Source organism: Homo sapiens, chromosome 2 (assembly GCF_000001405.40).
Source record: "Homo sapiens chromosome 2, GRCh38.p14 Primary Assembly".
In the NCBI taxonomy this organism is placed as follows: domain Eukaryota; kingdom Metazoa; phylum Chordata; class Mammalia; order Primates; family Hominidae; genus Homo; species Homo sapiens.
The window spans coordinates 10,710,574-10,732,288 of NC_000002.12; the positions used below are offsets into that span (position 1 = coordinate 10,710,574).

Genomic DNA, 21,715 nt, shown 5'->3' on the forward strand with positions numbered 1-21,715 from the left:
AGTTTCTGCAATGTTTATCAACTATTGGCAAATTAAGCGCATATTATTTATGGCAATGAGCAATATATATTTTCCAAATAGTTAAACATTTGATATACTTACTAAAGAATTAAAAATCACAATGTTTATCAAAATAATTATAAGAATTCACATATTAACCAAACATTTGCCGACAACCTACTTTATGCCAGGCGTGGTGCTGGGCATTAATATAGAGCTGAGGAAGGGAGTGCCCTCTAGTAGCTCGCAGTGTGAGATCAGACAGATGAGGAATCCAGGACTTTGGGATCAGGCACTAAAGCTGTGATAGAGGGATGGGAGATGCCAGGGGCGGAAGCCCAAATGAGGATCAAGAATGGTTTCAAGGGCAGGTCATGCTTGAGCTGACTTGATTTTTTTTTTTAATTAAAACATTTTAAAAAATTATTTTATTTTTTCAGACGTGGTCTCACTATGTTGTCCAGAGGCTGGTCTCAAACTCATGAACTCAAGCGATCTGTCTGCCTTGGCCTCCCAAAGTGTTGGGATTATAGGTGTGAGCCACCGTGCCCGGCCATGTACCCCTGAACTTAAAATAAAAGTTATAAATAGGCTAGGTGCCCTGGCTTATGCCTGTAATTCCAGCACTTTGGGAGGCCAAGGCAGAAGGATTGCTTGACCCCAGAAATTCAAAACCAGTCTAGGCAACATAGTGAGACCCTGCTCCATTAAAAAAAAGAAGACATAAGTAGGTTAGTCAGGTGTAGGGGTATGCACCTATATGTGGTCCCAGCCACTCAGGAAGCTGAGGTGGGAGGAGGATCACTTGAGCCTAGAAGGTCGAGGCTGCAGCAGTGAGCCATGATCCTGCCACTGCATTCCATCCTGGGTGACAGAGCAAGACCCTGTCTCAAACAAACAAACAAACAAAAACAAAAAAAAAAACCACCCATAAGTAAGGATGGGAACAGTGATGGGGAGAAGGGGACTAGAATGAGAGGGAGGAACTTGGGGGTCTGCAGGTCACCATAAAAAGAAGGGTAAAGGGCGGTTTGTCCACACGTCGCTGCCCAACACAGTAGCACCATCCGTGTAGTCAATTTAAATTAATGCAAATATTAAGGCTGAGCCTGGTAGCGTGCCCCTGTGGTACCAGCTACTCAGGAGAGGCCTCAGATGGGAGGACCACTTGAGCCCAGGAGGACAAGGCTGCAGTGGGCTGTGATTGCACCACTGCACACCAGCCTGGGCAACAGAATGAGACCTTGTCTCAAAAACTAAATTAATTGGCCAGGCACAGTGGCTCAAGCCTGTAATCTCAACACTTTGGGAGGCCAAAGCGGGAGGATTGCTTGAGCTCAGAAGTTTGAGACCAGCCTAGGCAATGTGGCAAGACCCTGTCTCTACCAAAATATACAAAAATAAGCCAGGTGTGGTGGCATGTGCCTATAGTCCCAGCTGCTCGGGAGGCTGAGGTGGGAGGATGGCTTGTGCCTGGGATGCCGAGGTTGCAGTGAGATCACACCACTGCACTCCAGCCTAGGCCACATAGCGAAACTCTGTCTCCAAAATAATTAAATAAATAAACTTATCTAATTAATGAATTTAAAAAAATCAAGTAATGAAAATTAAATGAAATGTAAAACTGTTCCTTAGTTTCTCCAGCCTCCTTCAGGTGCACATGTGGCCAATGGCTTCCGTATTGGGCAGTGCCGTTATAAAGCATTCCAGTCATCACAGAGAGTTCTATTGGCCAGGGCTGGTCTATGCCGAGATTGGAAGCTAGGGGTGGGGACAAGGGGAGTTAGGGCAGAGTGCGGGAGAAGGGCCTGATGTGGCAAGATGGAGCAAGGAGAATTGCCCCAGGGCTGGTAGGTGTGGGGACAGGAAACAACCAACCCCTGAGGGGTTCTGAGTAAAACAGTGTCCTCAGGGGAGTACACAAGGTGGGGAAATTGAAAGAAGTTGGGAGCCAGAGGTTTTGCGGATGAGGGACATGAATGCCAGAGAGCACAGATGAAGGGCGGAGGGTGGAGGAGGGACAGGAAGAGGGACGGAAGAGGGGGTGTGCTGAGCCGCATGGAGATCAGAGTGAGCAGGGGAGGGTGACCTCGGAGCCCGTGGCTTCCTGAACTGTCCTCTAGGCAGAGTGGGGCCAGGCTGAGAGCTGGGGGTGGGAACAGGACCACCCTTCTCACTTCTACTAATGGAAGCCTGCCAAAGGGATTTTCCTGTTGTTGGTTGATAACTTTTTATTTTAACATAATTTATTTTCTTTTTCTTTTTTTTTCTTTTGAGACAGGGTCTGGCTCTGTCACCCAGGCTGGAGTGCAGTGATGTGATCTCGGCTCACTGCAACTTCGACCTCCCAGGCTCAAGCGATTCTCCCACCTCAGCCTCCTGAGTAACTGAGACTACAGGCATGCACCACCACACCCAGCTAATTTTTTGTATTTTTTGTAGAGATGAGGTCTTGCCATATTGCCCAGGCCGGTCTCAAACTCCTGGCCTCAAGTGATCTGCCCACTTCGTCCTCCGGAATTGCTGAAATTACAGGTGTGAGCCACCGTACCCAGCCTCGTAAATTTCAGCCTTACAGAAAAGTTGTAAGACTAGCACAAGGAACTTCCATAGACAGATATGGGTATATGATAGGACTATTATATTGGCATGTAATATATATGACATAGTTCTCTATATCACCTAATATATACTTACAATATGTACTATATATTATATAATGACTTAATTATATGTAGAAAATATTTGAGAGTAAACTGACGTATCTGTTAACTATCCTCTAATCCAGCCTGGAAGCCACCCATTTCTCCAAGGTTCCCTGGTTCCTTTTAGTGGATGGTGGTATTAGAAACTAAGATCTGGACTACTGGTATATTCAGTGCTACTGGTAAATCATTGCTTCTGAGGTCTCCCAGCAAACAGAGCTAGTAAATGGTTTATTTCTCTCTCTCTCTCTCTCTCCCTTCATCCACCCATTTTAAAATCTGGGAGTTTAGACTGGCACCTCCAGTTTCAGTTCAGCAGCACAGGATTTATTCTAGTTTTCTCCTTTTCCATATTTGGTTTGGGGTTTTATTTTTATTTTTCAGAGAGGAGGTCTTGCTCTGTCACCCACCCTGGAGTACAGTGATGCAATCATAGCTCACTGCAGCCTCAAACTCCTGGGCTTAAGTGATACTCTTGTATTCAGCTTTCTGAGTAGCTAGGAATACAGGTGCAAGCCACTGCACCTGGCTAATTTTTATTTTTCGTAGAGTTGGGGGTCTCACTATGTTACTCAGGCTGGTCTTAAACTCATGGCCTCAAGTGAACCTCCCACCTTGGCCTCCCAAAGCACCGGGATTACAGAGAACGGGACTTTCTCTCTTTTTTTTTCTTTTTGAGACGGAGTTTCGCTCTTGTTGCCCAGGCTGGAGTGCCATGGCGCATTCTCAGCTCACTGCAACTTCTGCCTCCCAGGTTCAAGCGATTCTCCTGCCTCAGCCTTGCTAGTAGCTGGGATTACAGGCACCCACCATGCCTGGCTAATTTTTTTATTTTTAGTAGAGACTATGTTGGCCATAGTCACCATGTTGGCCAGGCTGGTCTTGAACTCCTGGCCTCAAGTGATCCTTCTGCCTTGGCCTCCCCAAGTGCTGGAATTACAAGCCTGAGCCACTGTACCCGGCCTGAGAATTGGAATCTGATTTTGAATTTTCTGCTTAAAATTTAATGATCAGACCGGGCATGGTGGCTCATGCCTGTAATCCCAGCACTTTGGGAAGATGAGGCGGGCGGATCACCTGAGGTCAGGAGTGCGAGACCAGCCTGGCCAGCATGGCGAAACCCTGTCGCTACTAAAAATACAAAAATTATCCAGACATGGTGGTGGGCGCCTGTAATCCCAGCTACTCAGGAGTCTGAGGCAGGAAAATCGCTTGAACACAGGAGGCGGAGGTTGCAGTGAGCCGAGATGGTGCCACTGCACTCCAGCCTGAGCGATGGAGCAAGACTGCATCTCAAAAAAAAAAAAAAAAGTTAATGATCATTTATTTTTTAATTAATTAGTTAATTTTTAAATAGGGGTGGGGTTTTGCTACATTGCTCAGGCTGGTCTCAAAGTCTTTCCACTTCGGTCTCCCAAAATGCTGAGATTATATGATCACTTATGTCATTTAATATTCCTCTAAAATGTTTTTAATGACAGCATGATTATAAAATTACTAATTTGTTCAATCCTCTTGTTGGACATATATGTTGTTTGCAATTTTGTCTTATAAACATAATTGAATGGTTACAGATGTCGCTCATCCATAACGTAGATACCCAGTACTTAAATATACAGTGTTATATTTTCATGTCTCTTTCAAATCATTTCATATTTCTAAAAGAGACCGATCTAAGAGCAAAAACATTTACACTCAGCTTCCTCTGATTCTCCAGACATCCTCCAGCATTTAAGCCCCTTGCTTGAAGTGCAGTGATCCAAAATATATTGTCTATTCAGCACTGTGAACTTGGCAGTGAACAGAGTGCCTTCCTGAACTCTATAATCTAAATAAAATGATGGGAGCACTTACTGTGAGCACACCAGGCTCAGTCATGCTTAGACATTTTGCATGCGTTATCTCATTCCATTTTCATCACAATTCTCTAACTTGAACTTGAAGTCCCCATTTTCAAAACTGGGGTATTGAGAGATTGGGTAACTTGGAAAGGGCCCAGCTAGTAAGTGGCAGAACTGAGACTTGAGGTCCAATCGTTTTGACTCCAAAGCCAGAGCTCAAAACTCCTGCAGAGGGCTCTTGGCTGTAGCCCAAAGACTCTTCCCTAAGCACCAGCCACACTCCTTCTCTTCTTTCTCTTCTTTCTCCAGCCCAGGACTCTTGAGGTCAGGGACCTCTCCTATTCCCTGTGGTACCTCCAAGATGTAGTTAACCTACCATGTAGGCTAACTCCATCAAAGATAGGTTGAAAGTGACTGAATGCAGGAGTGGCAATGTGCCATATATTTATAATAGGGCAAAATTCGCATCTTCCCAAAGAACCCTGTGAGGAGAAAAAGGAACTTGGAAGTGAGAAATAAAAGGAGGAAAAGAAGCAGAGATGAATGGAGCTTTTTAAAGTAGTAAATGCTAATAGCACGTCGTTGCCAATTGCTTAATATGCACTGTTCACTCTGCCATATCATTTAATTCCCGGGAAAACCTTATGAGGCAGGTACTTTTCTTTTTTCTTTTCTTTTCTTTTCTTTTTTTTTTTTTTTTGAGACAGTTTCGCTCTTGTTGCCCAGGCTGTAGTGCAAGGGCGCTATTTCAGTTCACTGCAGCCTCCGCCTCCCAGGTTCAAGTGATTCTCCTGCCTCAGCCTCCAAAGTAGCTGGGATTAGAGGCACGTGCCACCATGCCCAGCTAATTTTGTATTTTTAGTAGAGATGAGGTTTCTTCATGTTGGTCAGCTGGTCTCAAACTCCTGACTTCAGGCGATCTGCCTGCTTTGGCCTCCCAAAGTGCTGGGATTACAGGCGTGAGTCACCACGCTTGGCCGACAGGTACTATTATTAACCACAGTTTACAGCTCACCAAAAAGTCCACTGACGTTATGTAGAAACTTATGTAGGCCAGTTACAGTGGCTCCAACTTGTAATTCCAGCACTTTGGGAGGCTGAGGTGGGTGGATCACCTGAGTTCAGGAGTTCAATACTAGCCTGGCCAGCATGGTGAAACCCTGTCTCTACCAAAAATACAAAAATTAGCTGGGCATGGTGGCGGGTGCCTGTAATCCCAGCTACTCAGGAGGCTGAAGCAGGAGAATCACTTGAACCCTGGAGGCAGAGATTGCAGTGAGCCAAGATCGTGCCACTGCACTCCAGCCTGGGCAACAGAGCCAGACTCTGTCAAAAACAAACCAACCAACCCACAAACCTGTTGTCCCAGCTACTCAGGAGGCTGAGGCATGAGAATTGCTTGAACCCAGGAGGTGGAAGTTTCAGTGAGCTGAGATCGCGCCACTGCACTCCAGCCTGGGCAACAGAGCCAGACTCAGTCTCAAAAACAAACAAACAAACAAACAAACAAATGCAATTACAGGCTGAGTGCTAGTAACTAGGTCTTTGCATGGGGCCTAGAGGGGTGGTTTAGAGCTTGTAATGCCAGAGACACTTGGAGGTAGAAGAATGAAGTTCAAGACCCGGTTCTACCACTAAGTGTGCTTTGATCAGCTCAGTTAATCTCCTTGAGCCTGCTTCCTCATCTGTGAAAGAGGATCATGGTCTTCCTGGTATGTCTACACCTCGTGTGTATGCACATATCACATCCTGCTTAGTGTTTTGTGTTCAGACCTTAGTGAGTTGGAACTGCTCAGTATTCTGTTTATCAGACTTGCTTTGCTCTAGTACTAGTATGAAAATGCTGATTTATTTTTGCATGCTCCACAGTGCCTGGCAAATATTGTGGGGGGAAAAAAAAAACTTGTTAGATGAGGAAGTGAGCAGAGGTGACTTCTCCTTGTCTGTGTACACTAGGACAAATCCTGAGAATTCCCTGGCCTTAATTTCTCTGACCAAAACAGTGACAATGATAACAATGGCTGTCCTAAAATCACAAAGGCTTTTTGGGTGAAAAAGAAAATACAGATGAGAGGACTTTGGGCCCTGAAGAAGGATGGTAGATGATTTCGAGAGATTATTACAATGTGCTGCACTTAATATGTAAAACCGTAAAGAAACCTAAGAAAGCAGGAGAGGGAGAAGTGAGGGGAGCTCTTATTCGGTTGCTCTCACCAGAAATGCTGTTCTATCTTATCCTCATAACAAGCCTAAAAAGCAGGCATAATCTTGCTCCTTTGTTTTCAGCTGGGAAACCTGAAACATAGCAAGTGTAAGCGGCTTTTCTGACTGTCTGATTTCAAAGCCTAATCTGTTTCTACAGCACCGTATTGACTTGCAAGGGACAATTCTACTTGCATTTTTCTGTACTATAGATCTGTCCCCATAGAAAAACTCCCCAGGGCTCTTCTCAGCAAAAGCCAGAACAACCCACGTGAGCTGATTGAGATTCAAGGATATCTGGGCTGATTTGGAAAGGGCATCATCTTCGGATGGCTATGAAGTAATAAAGAAGTTCAAAATATGTCAGCTGGGAGTGGCCAGAGGACAACAGACCAACGAGGCCAGCCTCACCCTTCTGGTTCCCAAACCTGACGGGACTGTTCAATGTTGCACAGACTTCAGCTGGCTCAATGCACGATCAGTGCCAACTGCAGAAACATTTCAGAAGTAACTAACTAAAGCCAAATTCATAATAAGCTGCAGATGACTCAAGACTCCTGGCATTTCCTCCCCAGCCTTTATTCCTGGGAAGAGATGGTGTTTATTATGACCTGGGTACTATATTTTTCATAACCTGGGGAGTATTTTAAAAGCAGTGATTAAGGCACACAAACTTTTAAGTCTTTTAGCAGCAGATTTCAGAAACTTTAAAGTTGTATAGGGAGGGGACAGAAAATGGGTTGCTAAATGGTGCTTCAGGTTGAAATATGGAAGAAAAATACTTTCCTTATACAGTGTAAATGCTAAATCATACTCTTTTAATATACCAAGGGAGCAGGCTCCAGAACTTTTTGTTGTTTTCTCCCTATTTATCTGTTAAAGGCTGATCTTTGTGAGAGAAAAACACAAGTTAGCTCAAAACTGGTAAGTACACATGTGGTTGCCTTTGAGAAATGCAAATCAAACAACCTCTTGGACAAGATTCCCGCCCGCCTTGCCACCTTTTCAAGATGTAAGTTGTTTAACAAGGCATCTTTATTTGGCTTCAGAATCTTACTCAAGTTCTGAGCTGTGGTAAACTCTGATGACATTGGATTATCCTTTACTGATAAGATACATTTGATAACTTTTTTGATCTTTAGAAAGCAAACAGCAGAATGCCAAGATTTATGAATAATATATAATCTCAATCATGCAAAGAAATCTGCATCTATACATGAATATGCATTAATGGTAATAAAGAATTTAAATGTTAACAGCAGCTAATTATAGAATTACAAGTAATTTTTATTTTCTTCCTTATACTTCTCTGTTTGCCAAATTCTTTTTAAAAAACAGAAATTTCAAGCTCATTCTTGTTGGAGAAAAGAAAAGGAGAGAATTACCTATATAAGCAGATAAAAAGTTATTTGAAAAATATCAAGCTACCCCTGCAGCAGTAGACATCATCCATTATAAATTCAGCTATGAAACAAGAAACTTAAGATGTGAAAGACCAGAAAGATTTTAGATTTTGAGTAGGAAGATTTTGAGGAAGACAAGGAACACTGTAGGTCCTTATTATTTTCTTAATCAGATGATGTCCAGAAGTTATTTGTGTGTTTTTGTTTTTGTTTTGTTTTGTTTTTTGTTTTTGGAGATGGAGTCTTGTTCTGTCACCCAGGCTGGAGTACAGTGGCATGGTCTCGACTCACTGTAACCTCTGCCTCTCAGGTTCAAGTGATTCTCGCGCCTCAGCCTCCCTAGCAGCTGAGACCGCAGGTGCGTACCACCATGTCCAGCTAGTTTTTTTTTTTTTTTTTGGGACGGAGTCTCGCTCTATCGCCCAGGCTGGAGTGCAGTGGCGCAATCTTGGCTCACTGCAACCTCCGCCTCCCGGGTTCACGCCATTCTCCTGCCTCAGCCTCCCGAGTAGCTGGGACTATAGGCGCCCGCCACCAAGCCCAGCTAATTTTTTTGTATTTTTAGTAGAGATGGGGTTTCACCGTGTTAGCCAGGATGGTCTTGATCTCCTGACCTCGTGATCCGCCTGCCTCGGCCTCCCAAAGTGCTGGGATTACAGGCGTGAGCCACCGTGCCCAGCCAGTTTTTGTATTTTTAGTAAAGATGGGGTTTCACCATGTTGGCCAGGCTGGTCTCAAAGTCCTGATCTCAAGTGAGCCACCCGCCTGGGCCTCCCAAAGTACTGGGATTACAGGCATGAGCCACCGTGCCTGGCCTATCCAGGAGTTATTTGTGTCTGACTCTCTTAATTCACAGAACAAAGTTTTGTTTTGTTTTGTTTGTTGTTGTTGTTGTTGTTTTGGTTTGGTTTGGTTTGGTTTGGATTGGGTTTTTTGTTTTCTTTTTTGAGATGGAGTTTCACTCTTGTTGCCCAGGCTGGAGTGCAATGGTGTGATATCGGCTCACTGCAACCTCTGCCTCTGGGTTCAAGCGATTCTCCTGCCACAGCCTCCCGAGTAGCTGGGATTAAGGCATGCGCCACCACACCCAGATAATTTTTTATTTTTAATAGAGACGGGGTTTCTCCATGTTGGTCAGGCTGGTCTCGAACTCCTGATCTCAGGTGACCTGCCCACCTGGCCTCTCAAAGTGCTGGGATTACAGGTGTAAGCCACCACACCTGGCACAAAACAAAGTATTTACAGGTAACCAGGTGTATAGAAAGAGTGGTGCCACGAGCCAGGTCACAGATACTTCTAAATGTGTTGCTCAGTCTCTGAGAAGCCAGGTCCATGGCTTTGAACCTTGCAGATGGGAAAATGTGGACTAAAATAGAAAGCATGTGTTCTTCCTCACCCTGATTATCTAGTCCTGCAGGCTTGTTGGGAGCAGTAGAAAGGACATAAGACTCAGCCACAGGCCCGAGTTCCAACTGTAGCTCTGACATAACCAGCTGTGTGACACTGGGCAATTCACGTAACTTCTGTGGGCATCTCCACCCTTGTTTGCAGATGAGATCTGCCCCCAGCTCTAAGATGTTTTCCCTGGCTGGATAAAATGTCGTGCCTGGATAACGTCCAAGATTGGAGACCACCCCGCTTTAATGTCTAACTGGGCCACTCCTTCCCTGGAATAGCCACTTAATGTCCTCAAACATACCGGAGTTTCCCCATCCCTTGGTTTCAGGTATCCTCCCTCAGGAAGATGTTGCAAGGACTGACTAATGCACATTAGTGTCCCAATAACGATGCCTGCTGCAGGTGCTGGGACTTCCAAGTCTAACCTAGGCTGGCAGTACGACCCCACTGTGATCTTAAAGCCACCTTTCTGTCCCGTCTCTGGGGCTTCCCATCCCACCCTATGTGATTACAGCTTAAGTCTCAGATGATGTCAAATCCTTCTGCCAAAGACCCTGATGCATTCACAAGAATGGGTTGATAGATAAGGCTAGTTTACACAGGAGGGGGAGTCCACGTTTAAGGAAGCAAGAACACCGTCTCCAATGCCCCCTCGAAGGACACTCTTGAGATCTTCATCTTTCCCAGAAACCACTGAAAACATCGCCCACATGGAAGGATGCTTTAAAGCCTTCTCCTTCGGTCCAGAGAAAATGAATTCTCCGAGTTTTCCTTTGGTTTTGTCTTGTTTTTAACCTTCACACGTTAATTTCCAGGGTTTCCCCCTCCTGGTTCCAGACAGCACCGATCATGAACTCATCTCTGATCGTCGTACGGTGAGTTGTAACCGCCCCCCCACCCCCCATCCACAGGGCAATTCGGAAGGTGGAGAGGGTGAGGTGGGAGTTTCCTGGGCAACCGGGCGCACACCCGCGCCCACACGGACAGGAAAAGCTTCGCTGTCTACGCAGGTGCGTCCCGAGCACCTGCGCACCTGTTGCGCGGCTCCCCACAGGTGGGCCCTGTCTCTTGCACTGGCCTGGAGACACCTGGGAGTAGGTGATTCCCCTGAGATCCGCGCATGTCTCTGTGAGGCGAGAGTGGGTGGGCAAGCGGGGCTGCGGCGGCCGCAGCGGGAGGGCGGGGTGGTCCCGAGCTCAGAGCCTTTTCCCGACTCCCACCCGGCTCAGCCGTCCACGCGTCCCGGACGCGGCAGCGCAGTCGTGCGGCAGGAGACCCCGTGGGACGCGCCGCAGAAGCCCCCAGGGCCCCGGCCCTCGCGCGTAGGGGACTGGAGACCCTGCGCGTCTCCTCCGCGCCTTCCTGCCCGGCGCCTGCACCTGCTCCCCGGCTCTCGGGCCCCTGGCTGGAGCGAGGCGGGAGGCGGACGGCCCGTATGCAAATATCCTGCGGGGCCGGGGCCGCCTCCAGAGCCCGGGATAAAAGGCGGGGCGGGGCGCGGGGCAGCGAAGCCGCTGCCTCCCGGGAGCCGGCAGAGCGCTCCGGCCCCGCACCCGCCGCCCGTCGCCCGCAGCCCCCTACCGCGCGGCCCGCGCCCCGCCGGCTCCCGGTAAGGACGCACCGCGGAGCGGGGACCCGAGGCAGGGGCGGGGTGGGGACACAGGCACGGGGTCCGGCTGCGCACCAGCCTGCGCTTTCCCATTGGAAACGTGGGCAGCGTGCACCTCCGCGCGCTTCCCCGCGGCCGGGCTGGTAGCATCTCCGCAGGTGCTGCGGCGGGCCAGTTCGTCCCCAGGCCATGGGCAGTCAAGGCGGAAAGGAGCTGCGTTGGGTCTGCGCGGGGTTAGGAGAGAACAAAATGCCCTCGGATTGGAGCGGGACCGGGAGTCCGAAAGGAAGAGGTTCCACCAGGGGTCTCTGGCTCCTCAGAGCTTATCCTGCTTTCCCCCAGCCGTCCGGAGACGCCGCGGGGAGGCAAGCGGAAAGGGGGAACCTGGCCGAGGGGGAAAGGTGCGGGTGTGGACACCTGTGAAGGAGCAGCACGAATCGAATCGGCCGTAGAGGCTGCAGACGCGGCCGCGAAACCACCGGCCACGCCGGGCAAGGGACCCAGCACTGCTGAGCGGGCACCTCGCCTAGTGGAAAAAAGACTTTAGTAGTTCCCCTCACCCCCTACTACTTTTTTTTTTCTTATTTAAAAAAATCCTCTGAAGTCTATTTTTAAAGCTAATACCAATCACAAGGTTGGCCAGTTTGACCTGCGGTTTGACCTGGTAGCCTGTTGTGAAAATCCCTTCCTCATCCCACGCCTTCCTCCACCCCATCCTGCATCCCAGAAGATGCAGTGTGGAAGGAAGACAAATATTCCCCCAGAAGGTGTCCGCCTCCAGCTTACTGTCCTCCCGTTTTATGATGCCTGATAGGGGTTGTTCACTGAGGTGGAGAGAAAGAAAGGAACCTCTCCCTCCTCCTCTGCTCCTGAAAACCAGCCAGAACCACTGCAGGGACCAAGGAGCTTTGGAGTTTCGGGAACACCTGAGGGCTGCCCAGGTGGAGATAAGAGCTTTGCTTTTGCAAATGGATGTCCTTGGAGCTCATCCTAGAAAGGATGAATTGGAGGGTAGGGAGTGGTGAGGCGGGGATATCTGACACATCTCTCCTTCTGTTTCTGTTTGTGTATGTTTGTCCTGGTTCTGGGCAGTCACTGGGTAAGAGAAGACTGGAAGCATGTCGGAGTTTTGGTTAATTTCTGCCCCTGGCGATAAGGAAAATTTGCAAGCTCTGGAGAGGATGAATACTGTAACCTCCAAGTCCAACCTGTCTTATAATACCAAATTCGCTATTCCTGACTTCAAGGTAAAATTCTTGGGGAGGAGTGAAAAAGGGATGGATTGGTCAGGGGGAGACAGGAGAGGGAGACAGGTTGCTACCTCAGGAAGCCAAGGAGAAAGTATCAAGGCAAAGCAGGGGCTCTGAGGACAAGCTGAGGTTTGAGGATGGACGGGGAGGTGATGGGCTAGGTGGGATATCATGCCATAGTCCCAAATAAATTGTGATACCTATGTAGATGCAGCCACAGGAAGGAATGAACAGGGGGACAAGGTTGTGGGTAGCAGTGTCTAATGCTTCAAAAAGTGGGAAGCACGTTAAATGCACACTCAGGTTCTCTTGGGTGTTCCTCTGGCTCCTCCTGGTTTGTCTGCAACATCTCAGAAGACCCACCATATAGTTTAGATGTGCAGGCTTGGGGGGCTTCAGCCTTGATTGTACTCTTGACCTGGGGGCAGGGGAGGAAATCTAGGATCCCTTTGGTCCTGAGGGAGGGGAAGGGAGGGAATTTGGTGACAGAAGAGAGTTTGGGTCATGCCCAGGCATCTAAGGGTTCTTGGAGTGGAGGGCAAAGTTCAAACGAAACCAACATTAAGGAAGAATGAGGCCAGGCGCGGTGGCTCACGCCTGTAATCCCAGCACTTTGGGAGGCCGAGGTGGGTGGATCATGAGGTCAGGAGATCGAGACCATCCTGGCTAACACGGTGAAACCCCGTCTCTACTAAAAAATACAAAAAAATAGCCAGGCATGGTGGCGAGCGCCTGTAGTCCTAGCTACTCGGGAGGCTGAGGCAGGAGAATGGTGTGAATCCGGGAGGTGGAGCTTGCAGTGAGCCGAGATTGCGCCACTGCACTCCAGCCTGGGTGAACGGCGAGACTCTGTCTCAAAAAAAAAAAAAAAAAAAGAATGAGACATGTGCAATTTTTTTCCCCCCGAGTAGCTGGGATTACAGGCGTGTGCCACCATGCCCGGCTAATTTTTGTATTATTAGTAGAGATGGGGTTTCACCATGTTGGGCAGGCTGGTCTCAAACTCCTGCCCTCAGGTGATCCACCTGCCTCGGCCTCCCAAAGTGCTGGGATTACAGGAGTGAGCCACCACGCCTGGCCACACAATTATTTTACTTCAAAAAGAGTGGACTTACCGTGGTGCTTTCTGAGGCTGTAGGTTTCCACGGGGAAGACACTACAGCTTTCTCCCAGACCACATGGCACAGGTGCTGGTGAGATGGCACTGACTGCCCAGCATCTGCTCTTGTAGAAAACTGCCATATACTCCCTTTTCAAACCTCACTTTGCCCCTCCGCCCAAACAGCTGCCCCATCAGCTACCAGGGTTGTAATGCTACCCCATTTGCTAACGTTTGTTGAGCAAAGAGCTGACGGCTAGATACTTGAAATGCATCACCGGGAAGCTGACTCTGGGGACAGGCTGGGAGAGGCTAAGTGTTGTCAGGCTGGTAAGTGGCAGCAGTGGGTTCTGAAACCACATCTTGCTGCCTTTTTAAGCCTGCCTCTGCTTGTCCAGCAATGGACACTGTACGGGTGAGTAAATTCTGCATCCACTCATTGATACTGTGTGTGAGGCACTGTGCTGGACTCTGGAAGGTAAAAAGATAAAAAAAGAAGACACAGCCCCTGCAGAAGTTGCTTAAAATTAAGTTACTTGAGAAGAAGCGACTTGTCTTGGTAGAGATATTCAGGCTTCATCATTTCCTAATTACTTTTTTTTTTTTTTTTTGGTTGGAGCCTCGCTCTGTCACCCAGGCTGGAATGCCGTGGTGCAATCTAGGCTCACTGCAACCTCCGCCTCCTGGGTTCAAGTGATTCTCCTGCCTCAGCCTCCCCAGTAGCTGGGATTACAGGCACATGCCACCATGCCTGGCTAGTTTTTGTATTTTTAGTAGAGACGGGGTGTCACCAGGTTGACCAGTTTGGTCTCAAACCTTCGGCCTCCCAAAGTGTTGAGATTACAGGTGTGAGCCACTGTGCCCAGCCTCCTAATTATTTTTCTTAATTTTTTTTTTCTTGAAATTCTGCCAAATCTCAGAACCTAATTACTTTTTAACATCTAGTTGGTGGTACCACATGATAGCAACCCTTTTCTTTCTGATTCTGTGAAAAGACCTTTAAATACAATTTTGGACATTGTAGTAATTTCTACACTAAGAAATAGATCATGGCCAGGCACGGTGGCTCACTCCCGTAATCCCAGCCCTTTGGGAGGTCGAAGTGGGAAGATCACTTGAGGTCAGGAGTTTGAGACCAGCATGGACAACATGACCAAACCCCATCTCTACTAAAAATATAAAAAAATAAGCCAGGCGTGGGGCACATGCCTGTAATACCAGCTATTTGGGAGGCTGAGGCAGAAGAATCACTTGAACCTGGGAGGTGGAGGTTGCAGTGAGCCGAGATCTCAAAAAATAAAAAACAACAACAACAAAAAAAACAGATCATAAGTTCTCTGAAAAGAAAAGGACCTAGGTGAATGATGAAGTGGGAGGAAAGGAAAAGCTGCCTCCTTCCCCAGCAAGAATTTTTTTTTTTTTTTTTTTTTTTGAGATGCAGTCTCGCTCTGCTGACCAGGCTGGAGTGCAGTGGTGCGATCTTGGCTCACTGCAACCTCCACCTCCGAGGTTCAAATGATTTTCCTGCCTCAGACTCCCAAGTAGCTTGGATTACGGGCACATGCCACCATGCCCGGCTAATTTTTGTATTTTTAGTAGAGACAGGGTTTTGCCATATTGGCCAGGCTGGTCTCAAACTCCTGAACTCAGGTGATCTGCCCACCTTGGCCTCAAGATCATGGTTAATAACAGCAAAGAACAGAGAAAAAGACGGTGGGGCCGGGTGCAGTGGCTTGAGCCTGTAATTCCAGCACTTTGGGAGGCCAAGGCAGGCAGATCACCTGAAGTCGGGAGTTCGAGACCAGCCTGACCAACATGGAGAAACCCTGTCTCTACTAAAAATAAAAAATTAGCCGTGCATGATGGTGCATACCTGTAATCCCAGCTACCTAGGAAGGCTGAGGCAGGAGAATCACTTGAATCCAGGAGGCGGAGGTTGAGGTGAGCCGAGATCGTGCCATTTCACTCCAGCCTGGGCAACAAGAGCGAAACTCCATCTCAAAAACAACAACAAAAAACACAACTGATGGGACTGTCTTGGAGCAGAAAAGCTTTTAGGAATGAGAACTTCTTTAACTTGCTTTCTGGTGTATCTCTTCCTCAGCTATGGGGATTAACAACATGACTGACTAGCAGGCTGCCATTCTAAGAGGAAAATGAGCTGAGGTCAGATGGTAACATCATAGTCACTCCTTCCTATGGCAGGCATATGACAGTTTATCCTGTTGGTCAAAAATAAGTAAATAAAGACACCCCCAAATCCACTGGTTTCCATTAAGAGTTTTTTCTACTTTCCACTTTGGCCATTGACCAAGGGTGACAAATTCAAGATGAAGTGACAGAGTCCCTGCCGTGTTGTTGAGATGGCATCATGCTTGGCCAGAAACCTGTGAGCCTCTGACGTTTTTATGATCTGTCTAGGTGGGGACCTTGGATTCCCTGGTTGGCCTCTCTGATGAGTTGGGGAAACTCGACACCTTTGCTGAAAGGTAAAATATTCCTTATTTACTACATACAAGTGAGAATTTGACATTGTTGTCAGAGGACACAGTGTTCTTGCTTTGGCTGAACCGGAGTATGGACTTGTCTAGACCTGGTTCCAAAAGTGAGCAGAGAAAACCGATCAGTCCCCCTGCGGGTGCTGGGTCTGCAGGAGCCCGCCTGATCCCTCCTGGTGTTTTGTCTGCTGGAGGCAGCACTTGTTAAGGGGTTGCCTTCAACCTGAAGATCATGCATAGGTGCCGAGACACTTGGAAAAGTCCTTGGTGTAGTTTCCCACCAAGCCTTTTTAAGTTTGTTTATTTTTTAGTAATAAATGCTCATAGCACAAAATTTCAACTACAAAAAGAGGCCCGGGGCAGTGGCTCACACCTGTAACCCTAGCTACTCCACAGGTTAAGTCAGGAGACTCGCTTGAGCCCAGGAGTTCAACACCAGCCTGGACAATATAGAGAGCCTTCCTTCCTTCCTTCCTCCCTCCCTCCCTCCCTCCCTTCCTCCCTTTTTTGAGACAGAGTCTCACTCTGTTGCCCAGGCTGGAGTACAATGGTCTGATCGTGGCTCATTGCAACCTCCGCCTCCCAGGTTCAAGTGATTCTCCTGCCTCAGCATCCTGAGTAGCTGGGACTACAGACACCCTCCACCATGCCCAGCTAACTTTTGTATTTTTAGCAGAGACAGGGTTTCACCATGTGTTCCAGGCTAGTTTCGAAGTCCTGACCTCAGGTGATCCACCTGCCTCGACCTCCCAAAGTGTTGGGATTACAGGCCATGAGCCACCATGCCCAGCCAAAAGACCTTGTTTCTAAGAAAAAAAAAAAAAAAAAATAGCTAGATGTGGTGATGTGTGCCTGTAGTCCTAGCTACTGGGGAGGCTGAGGTGAGAAAAATGCTTGAACCCAGGAGCTTGAGGCTGCAGTGAGCTATGGTTGTGCCACTGCACTCCAGCCTAGACAACAGAGTGAGACCCCATCTCAAACAAACAAACAAAAACCCAAAGTACAAAAAGGATATATATAGTGAAAGTGAAGGTTTCCGGCCAGGAGTGGTAGCTCACCCCTATAATCCCAGCATTTTGGGAGGCCGAGGCAGGTGGATCACTTGAGATCAGGAGTTTGAGACCAGCCTGGCCAAGACGGTGAAACTTCGTCTCTACTAAAAATACAAAAATTAGCTGGGTGTGGTGGCGGGTGCCTATAATCCTAGCTACTCCGGAGGCTGAGGCAGGAGAATCGCTTGAGCGGGGGAGGGGGGATGGGGGTTGCAGTGAGCCGAGATCGCGCCACTTCACTCCAGCCTGGGTGACAGAGCAAGACTCCGTCTCAAAAAGAAAATTAAGTTTTCTTCTCACCTGTTTTTCTCTTTCCTGTCCCCTAGTCCTCCATTGCCCCTCTTTTAAGGCAATTTTCCTATAACTTTCTAGGTAAGCCTTCCAGAGATAGCCAATACATGCACAAATAAATATGTCTTAAAATTAATATTATTCATTCATGTATTTGTTTACTTATTTGTGTTTTTTGCAGACAGGGTCTGGCTCTGTTGCCTAGGCTGGAGTGCAGTGGTGCAATCATAGCTCAGTGCAGCCTTGAACTCCTGGGCTCAAGCGATCCTCCTACCTCAGCCTCCCAATTATCTGAGACTATGGTCACATGCCATCATGCCCAGCTAATTTTTGTATTTTTTTGGTAAAGACAAGGTCTCACTGTGTTTCCCAGGCTGGCCTTGAACTCCTGGCCTCAAGTGATCCTCTTGCCTCGGCCTGCCAAAGTGTTGGGATTACAGATGTGACTCACCACATTCAGCCTTAAAATTAATTTTGTACAAATGATAGCATATATTCTGCATCTTGCATTTTAGTTAAATAACGTATCTTAGAGGTAGTTTCATATCAGTCCATAACTTCATGTTCGTTCTTTTAATGGCTGTGTTACTGTGAATAGATGTACCCTCATTTATTTGAATAGACTGGTGGATTGCTTGACTCCAGGAGTTCGAGACCAGCCTAGACAACATAGCAAAACCTCATCTCTATTAAAAATACAAAACATTAGCTGGGTATGGTGGTATGTGCCTGTAGTGCCAGCTATGCAGGAGGCTGAGGTGGAAGAATCACCTGAGCCTGGAAGTTTGAAGCTGCAGTGACCAAGATCATGCCACGGCACTCCGGCCTGGGCGAAAGAGTGACACCCTGTCTCAAAAAAAAAAAAAAAAAAAAGTGTATGAGGATGTCGTGGAGTCTTAAAATTATATATCTTTGTTTAAATTATTACAAATCTGGGCCAGGCGTGGTGGCTCACACCTATAATCTCAGGACTTCGGGAGGCCGAGGCAGGTGGATCACGAGGTGAAGAGCTTGAGACCATCCTGGCCAACATGAAAATACAAAAAAAAAAAAAAAAAAATAGTTGGGTGCGGTGGCTGGCGCCTGTAATCCCAGCTACTCGGGAGGCTGAGGCACAAGAATTGCTTGAACCTGGCAGGCGGAGGTTGTAGTGAGCCAAGATCGTGCCACTGCACTCCTGCCTGGGACAGAGCAAGACTTTGTCTCAAAAAAAAAAAATATTACAAATCTGGTGTATAATCATTGGAAAACTTTTTTTTTTGAGATAGAGTCTCACTCTGTCACCCAGGCTGGAGTAGAGTAGCACGATCTGGGCTCACTACAGCCTCTGCCTCCCAAGTTGAAGCAATCTCCTGCCTCAACCTCCCGAGTAGCTGGGATTACAGGTACATGCCAACATGCCTAGCTAATTTTTGTATTTTTAGTAGAGACGGTGTTTCACCATGTCGGCCAGGCTGGTCTCGAACTCCTGACCTCAAGTGATTCATTGGAAAGCATTTATAGATCATAGAATAGCATGAAAAAAATACAAATCACCCATAATTAAGCCATCCAAATATAACTATTATTATATTGTGTTTACAGTGTGTACATCTAATTTTCTCAACATATAAATATAATTTCTGGATAACGTAGTAATAGAAGTAAGATCAGGCTGGGTGCCGTGGTTCACGCTTGTAATCCCAGCACTTTGGGAGGCCAAGGCAGGAGGGACAGTTGAGCCCAATAGTTTGAGAAGAGCCTGGGCAACATAGTGAGACCCTCTCTCTACAAAAAGTAAAAAATACTAGCTGGCTGTGGTGGTGCACCTGTAGTCCCAGCTACTTGGGAGGCTGAGGTGAAAGGATTGCTTGAGCCCAGGAGGTCGAGGCTGAGCTGAGCTGTGATCGTGCCACTGCCCTCCAGCCTGGATGACAGATTGAGACCCTGGCTGTGGGGTAGATGAGGGCAGCATTCCCCAGGGGCTGGGTGGTGGCCTGCTGGGCTGCAGTGCTGGGACTCAGTGCTCTGACTGCTTCCTTAAAGGGTTTCAGGGATTCCTTTTCTTTTTCTTCTCCTACCCCTTAACATTTGTGAAACTTTCAGGTTTTTAGGGCCCATGGACTTGCTCTTTTCTTCTTAGTGGAATGGTGATATGGCTGCTACTGCCTTGTTTGATGAACTGTATGGAATTAGGAGTTCTAGTGAACATACTTTGAGTATTTCTTTTTTTAAGACAGAATCTTGCTCTGTTGCCCCAGCTGGAGTACAGTGGCACAATCTTAGCTCACTGCAACCTCTGATTCCTGGGCTCAAGTGATTCTCCTGCTTCAGTCTTCCAAGTAGCTGAGATTACAGGCGTGTGCCACCAGGCCAGGCTAATTTTTGTATTTTTAGTAGAGATGGGGTTTCACCATGTTGGGCAGGCTGGTCTCGAACTCCTAACCTCAAGTGATCTTCCAGCTTCAGCCTCCCAAAGTGTTGGGATTACAGGTGTGAGCCACTGTGCCTGGCCACTTTGAGGATTTCTAATCTGCAGATTAGTGCTATGGGCTAAAAATTGGGTTCTCTGTGTTCTGTTGCTATTTACCTTCTGATTGCCTAAGAATAGTAGGATGCCTTTGTTAGTGACATTTTGCTTTGTATGGGATGTTGGACTAACACACAGGCACTCCTAGTCACCAAGTAGTTTGCTGTTCACAGTGGGTTTTTTTTTTTTTTTTTTGAAATGAGATAATACACAGGTGTAAACCTTTTTTTTTTTTTTTTGAGATGGAGTTTCACTCATGTTGCCCAGGCTGGAGTGCAATGGCACAATCTCAGCTCACTGCAACCTCCGCCTCCTGGGTTAAAGCGATTCTCCTGCCTCAGCCTCCCGAGTAGCTGGGATTACAGGCATGCGCCACCATGCCTGGCTAATTCTGTGTTTTTTAGTAGAGACGGGATTTCTCCACATTGGTCAGGCTGGTCTCAAACTCCCGATCTCAGGTGATCCACCCACCTTGGCCTCCCAAAGTGCTGGGATTACAGGCATGAGCCACTGCGCCCTGCCAACAATTTTTTTTTTCATGAGACAGGGTCTTGCTCTGTCGCCAGCCTGGAGTGCAGTAGCACCATCAGGGCTCACTGCAACCTCCACCTCTCTGGCTCAAGTGATCCTCCCGCCTCAGCCTCTCAAGTAGCTGGGACCACAGGTGCACACCATGCCCAGCTAATTTTAAAATTTTTTGTAGAGACAAGGTCTTACTATATCTCCCAGGCTGGTCTCGAACTCCTGGGCTCTAGCAATCCTCCCACCTTGGCCTCCCAAAGTGCTGGAATTACAAGCATGAGTCACCACACCTAGCCACCATTCATAGTCTTTGAGAAAGAAAACTAATCTTTGGCTCTCTCATTCATAAAATCTGTCTGCTCTCAGACGAATGAAGGGAAGTAAAATCATGCTAAATCAAGTATTATCAAATCTCAGGGCCTGTCCTGTAAAAGTTAATATCCAAGAAAAAGTGACTTGATCCGGAAATGTTGACTCCCTTCTTAGGCTTCTCTGCACCACAGGGAGGTATGACTGGCCTTGTACAACTTATGGCCTAGCTGAGAAGACACATATTAATAAAATAATCACATCACATAATCAAATAATGCTAAACCTAAGAAAGGCCTGTAACAGATGCCATTGAGAACAGCCCACTGCCCTAGGCTAGTGAATGCCTTAGGTTTTCCTGGGCAGCAGTGACAAACCGCAGAAGGAGACTGGTCTCGTGCAGGAAGGTTGGCTTAAGAAATGTGAACTGGGCCAAGCGCAGTAGCTCATGCCTGTAATCCCAGCACTTTGGGAGGCTGAGATGGGTGGAATGCTTGAGCCCAGGAGTTCAAGACCATCCTGGGTGACATGGTGAAACCCCATCTCTACAAAAAATACAAAATTTAGCCAGGTGTGGTGGTGCATGCCTGTAGTCCCAGCACTTGGGAAGTTGAGGAGGGAGAATTGCTTGAGCCCAGGAGGTCGAGGCTGCAGTGAGCAGAGATCACACCACTGCACTCCAGCCTGGGCAACAGAGTGAGACCCTGTCTCAGGAAGAAAAGAATAAAAGAAAAAAAAAAAGTGTGAATAGTTCCCTACCTGCTGCAGAAATGGTAGCAATTCTAGAGCTGTCTTTGCTACCAATTTTCTGTCCTAGTGCAAGTCTTTTAACCTCTTATTCACTAAAACCCCTTTAGCTCTGAAATTCTGTGATCCTGGATTGTTATTGTTTCCATTTTAGTTTCTTTCTTGCTTTCTTGCTCTTCTTGCTTTCTTTCGCTTTCCCTTCTTCCCTCCATCCCTCCCTCTCCCTCTCTCTCTCTCTTTCTCTCACTCTTTCTCTCTTTCTTTCTTTTTGACAGAGTCT

General features: G+C 47.4%; 1 protein-coding gene across 11 annotated transcripts in view; it reads left to right on the plus strand.

Annotated features, from left to right (window-relative positions):
• The window catches only part of ATP6V1C2 (ATPase H+ transporting V1 subunit C2), a 64,168-nt gene continuing 52,822 nt past the window's right edge, over window positions 10,370-21,715 (plus strand). For 8 of the 11 annotated variants that reach the window (XR_922661.2, NM_001410707.1, XM_011510340.4 and 5 more), the window contains exons 1-3: window positions 11,057-11,158; window positions 12,251-12,405; window positions 15,929-15,996. Coding sequence is in view for 10 of the 11 variants with exons in the window: in NM_001410707.1 (NP_001397636.1) it covers window positions 12,277-12,405; window positions 15,929-15,996 (197 nt within the window). In the remaining variant the exon portion in view is untranslated. Of the gene's footprint in view, window positions 10,425-10,531; window positions 10,604-11,056; window positions 11,159-12,250; window positions 12,406-15,928; window positions 15,997-21,715 lie in introns of those variants that run through there. The other 3 variants (XM_047443860.1, XM_047443858.1, XM_017003745.3) reach the window with 3 other exon arrangements.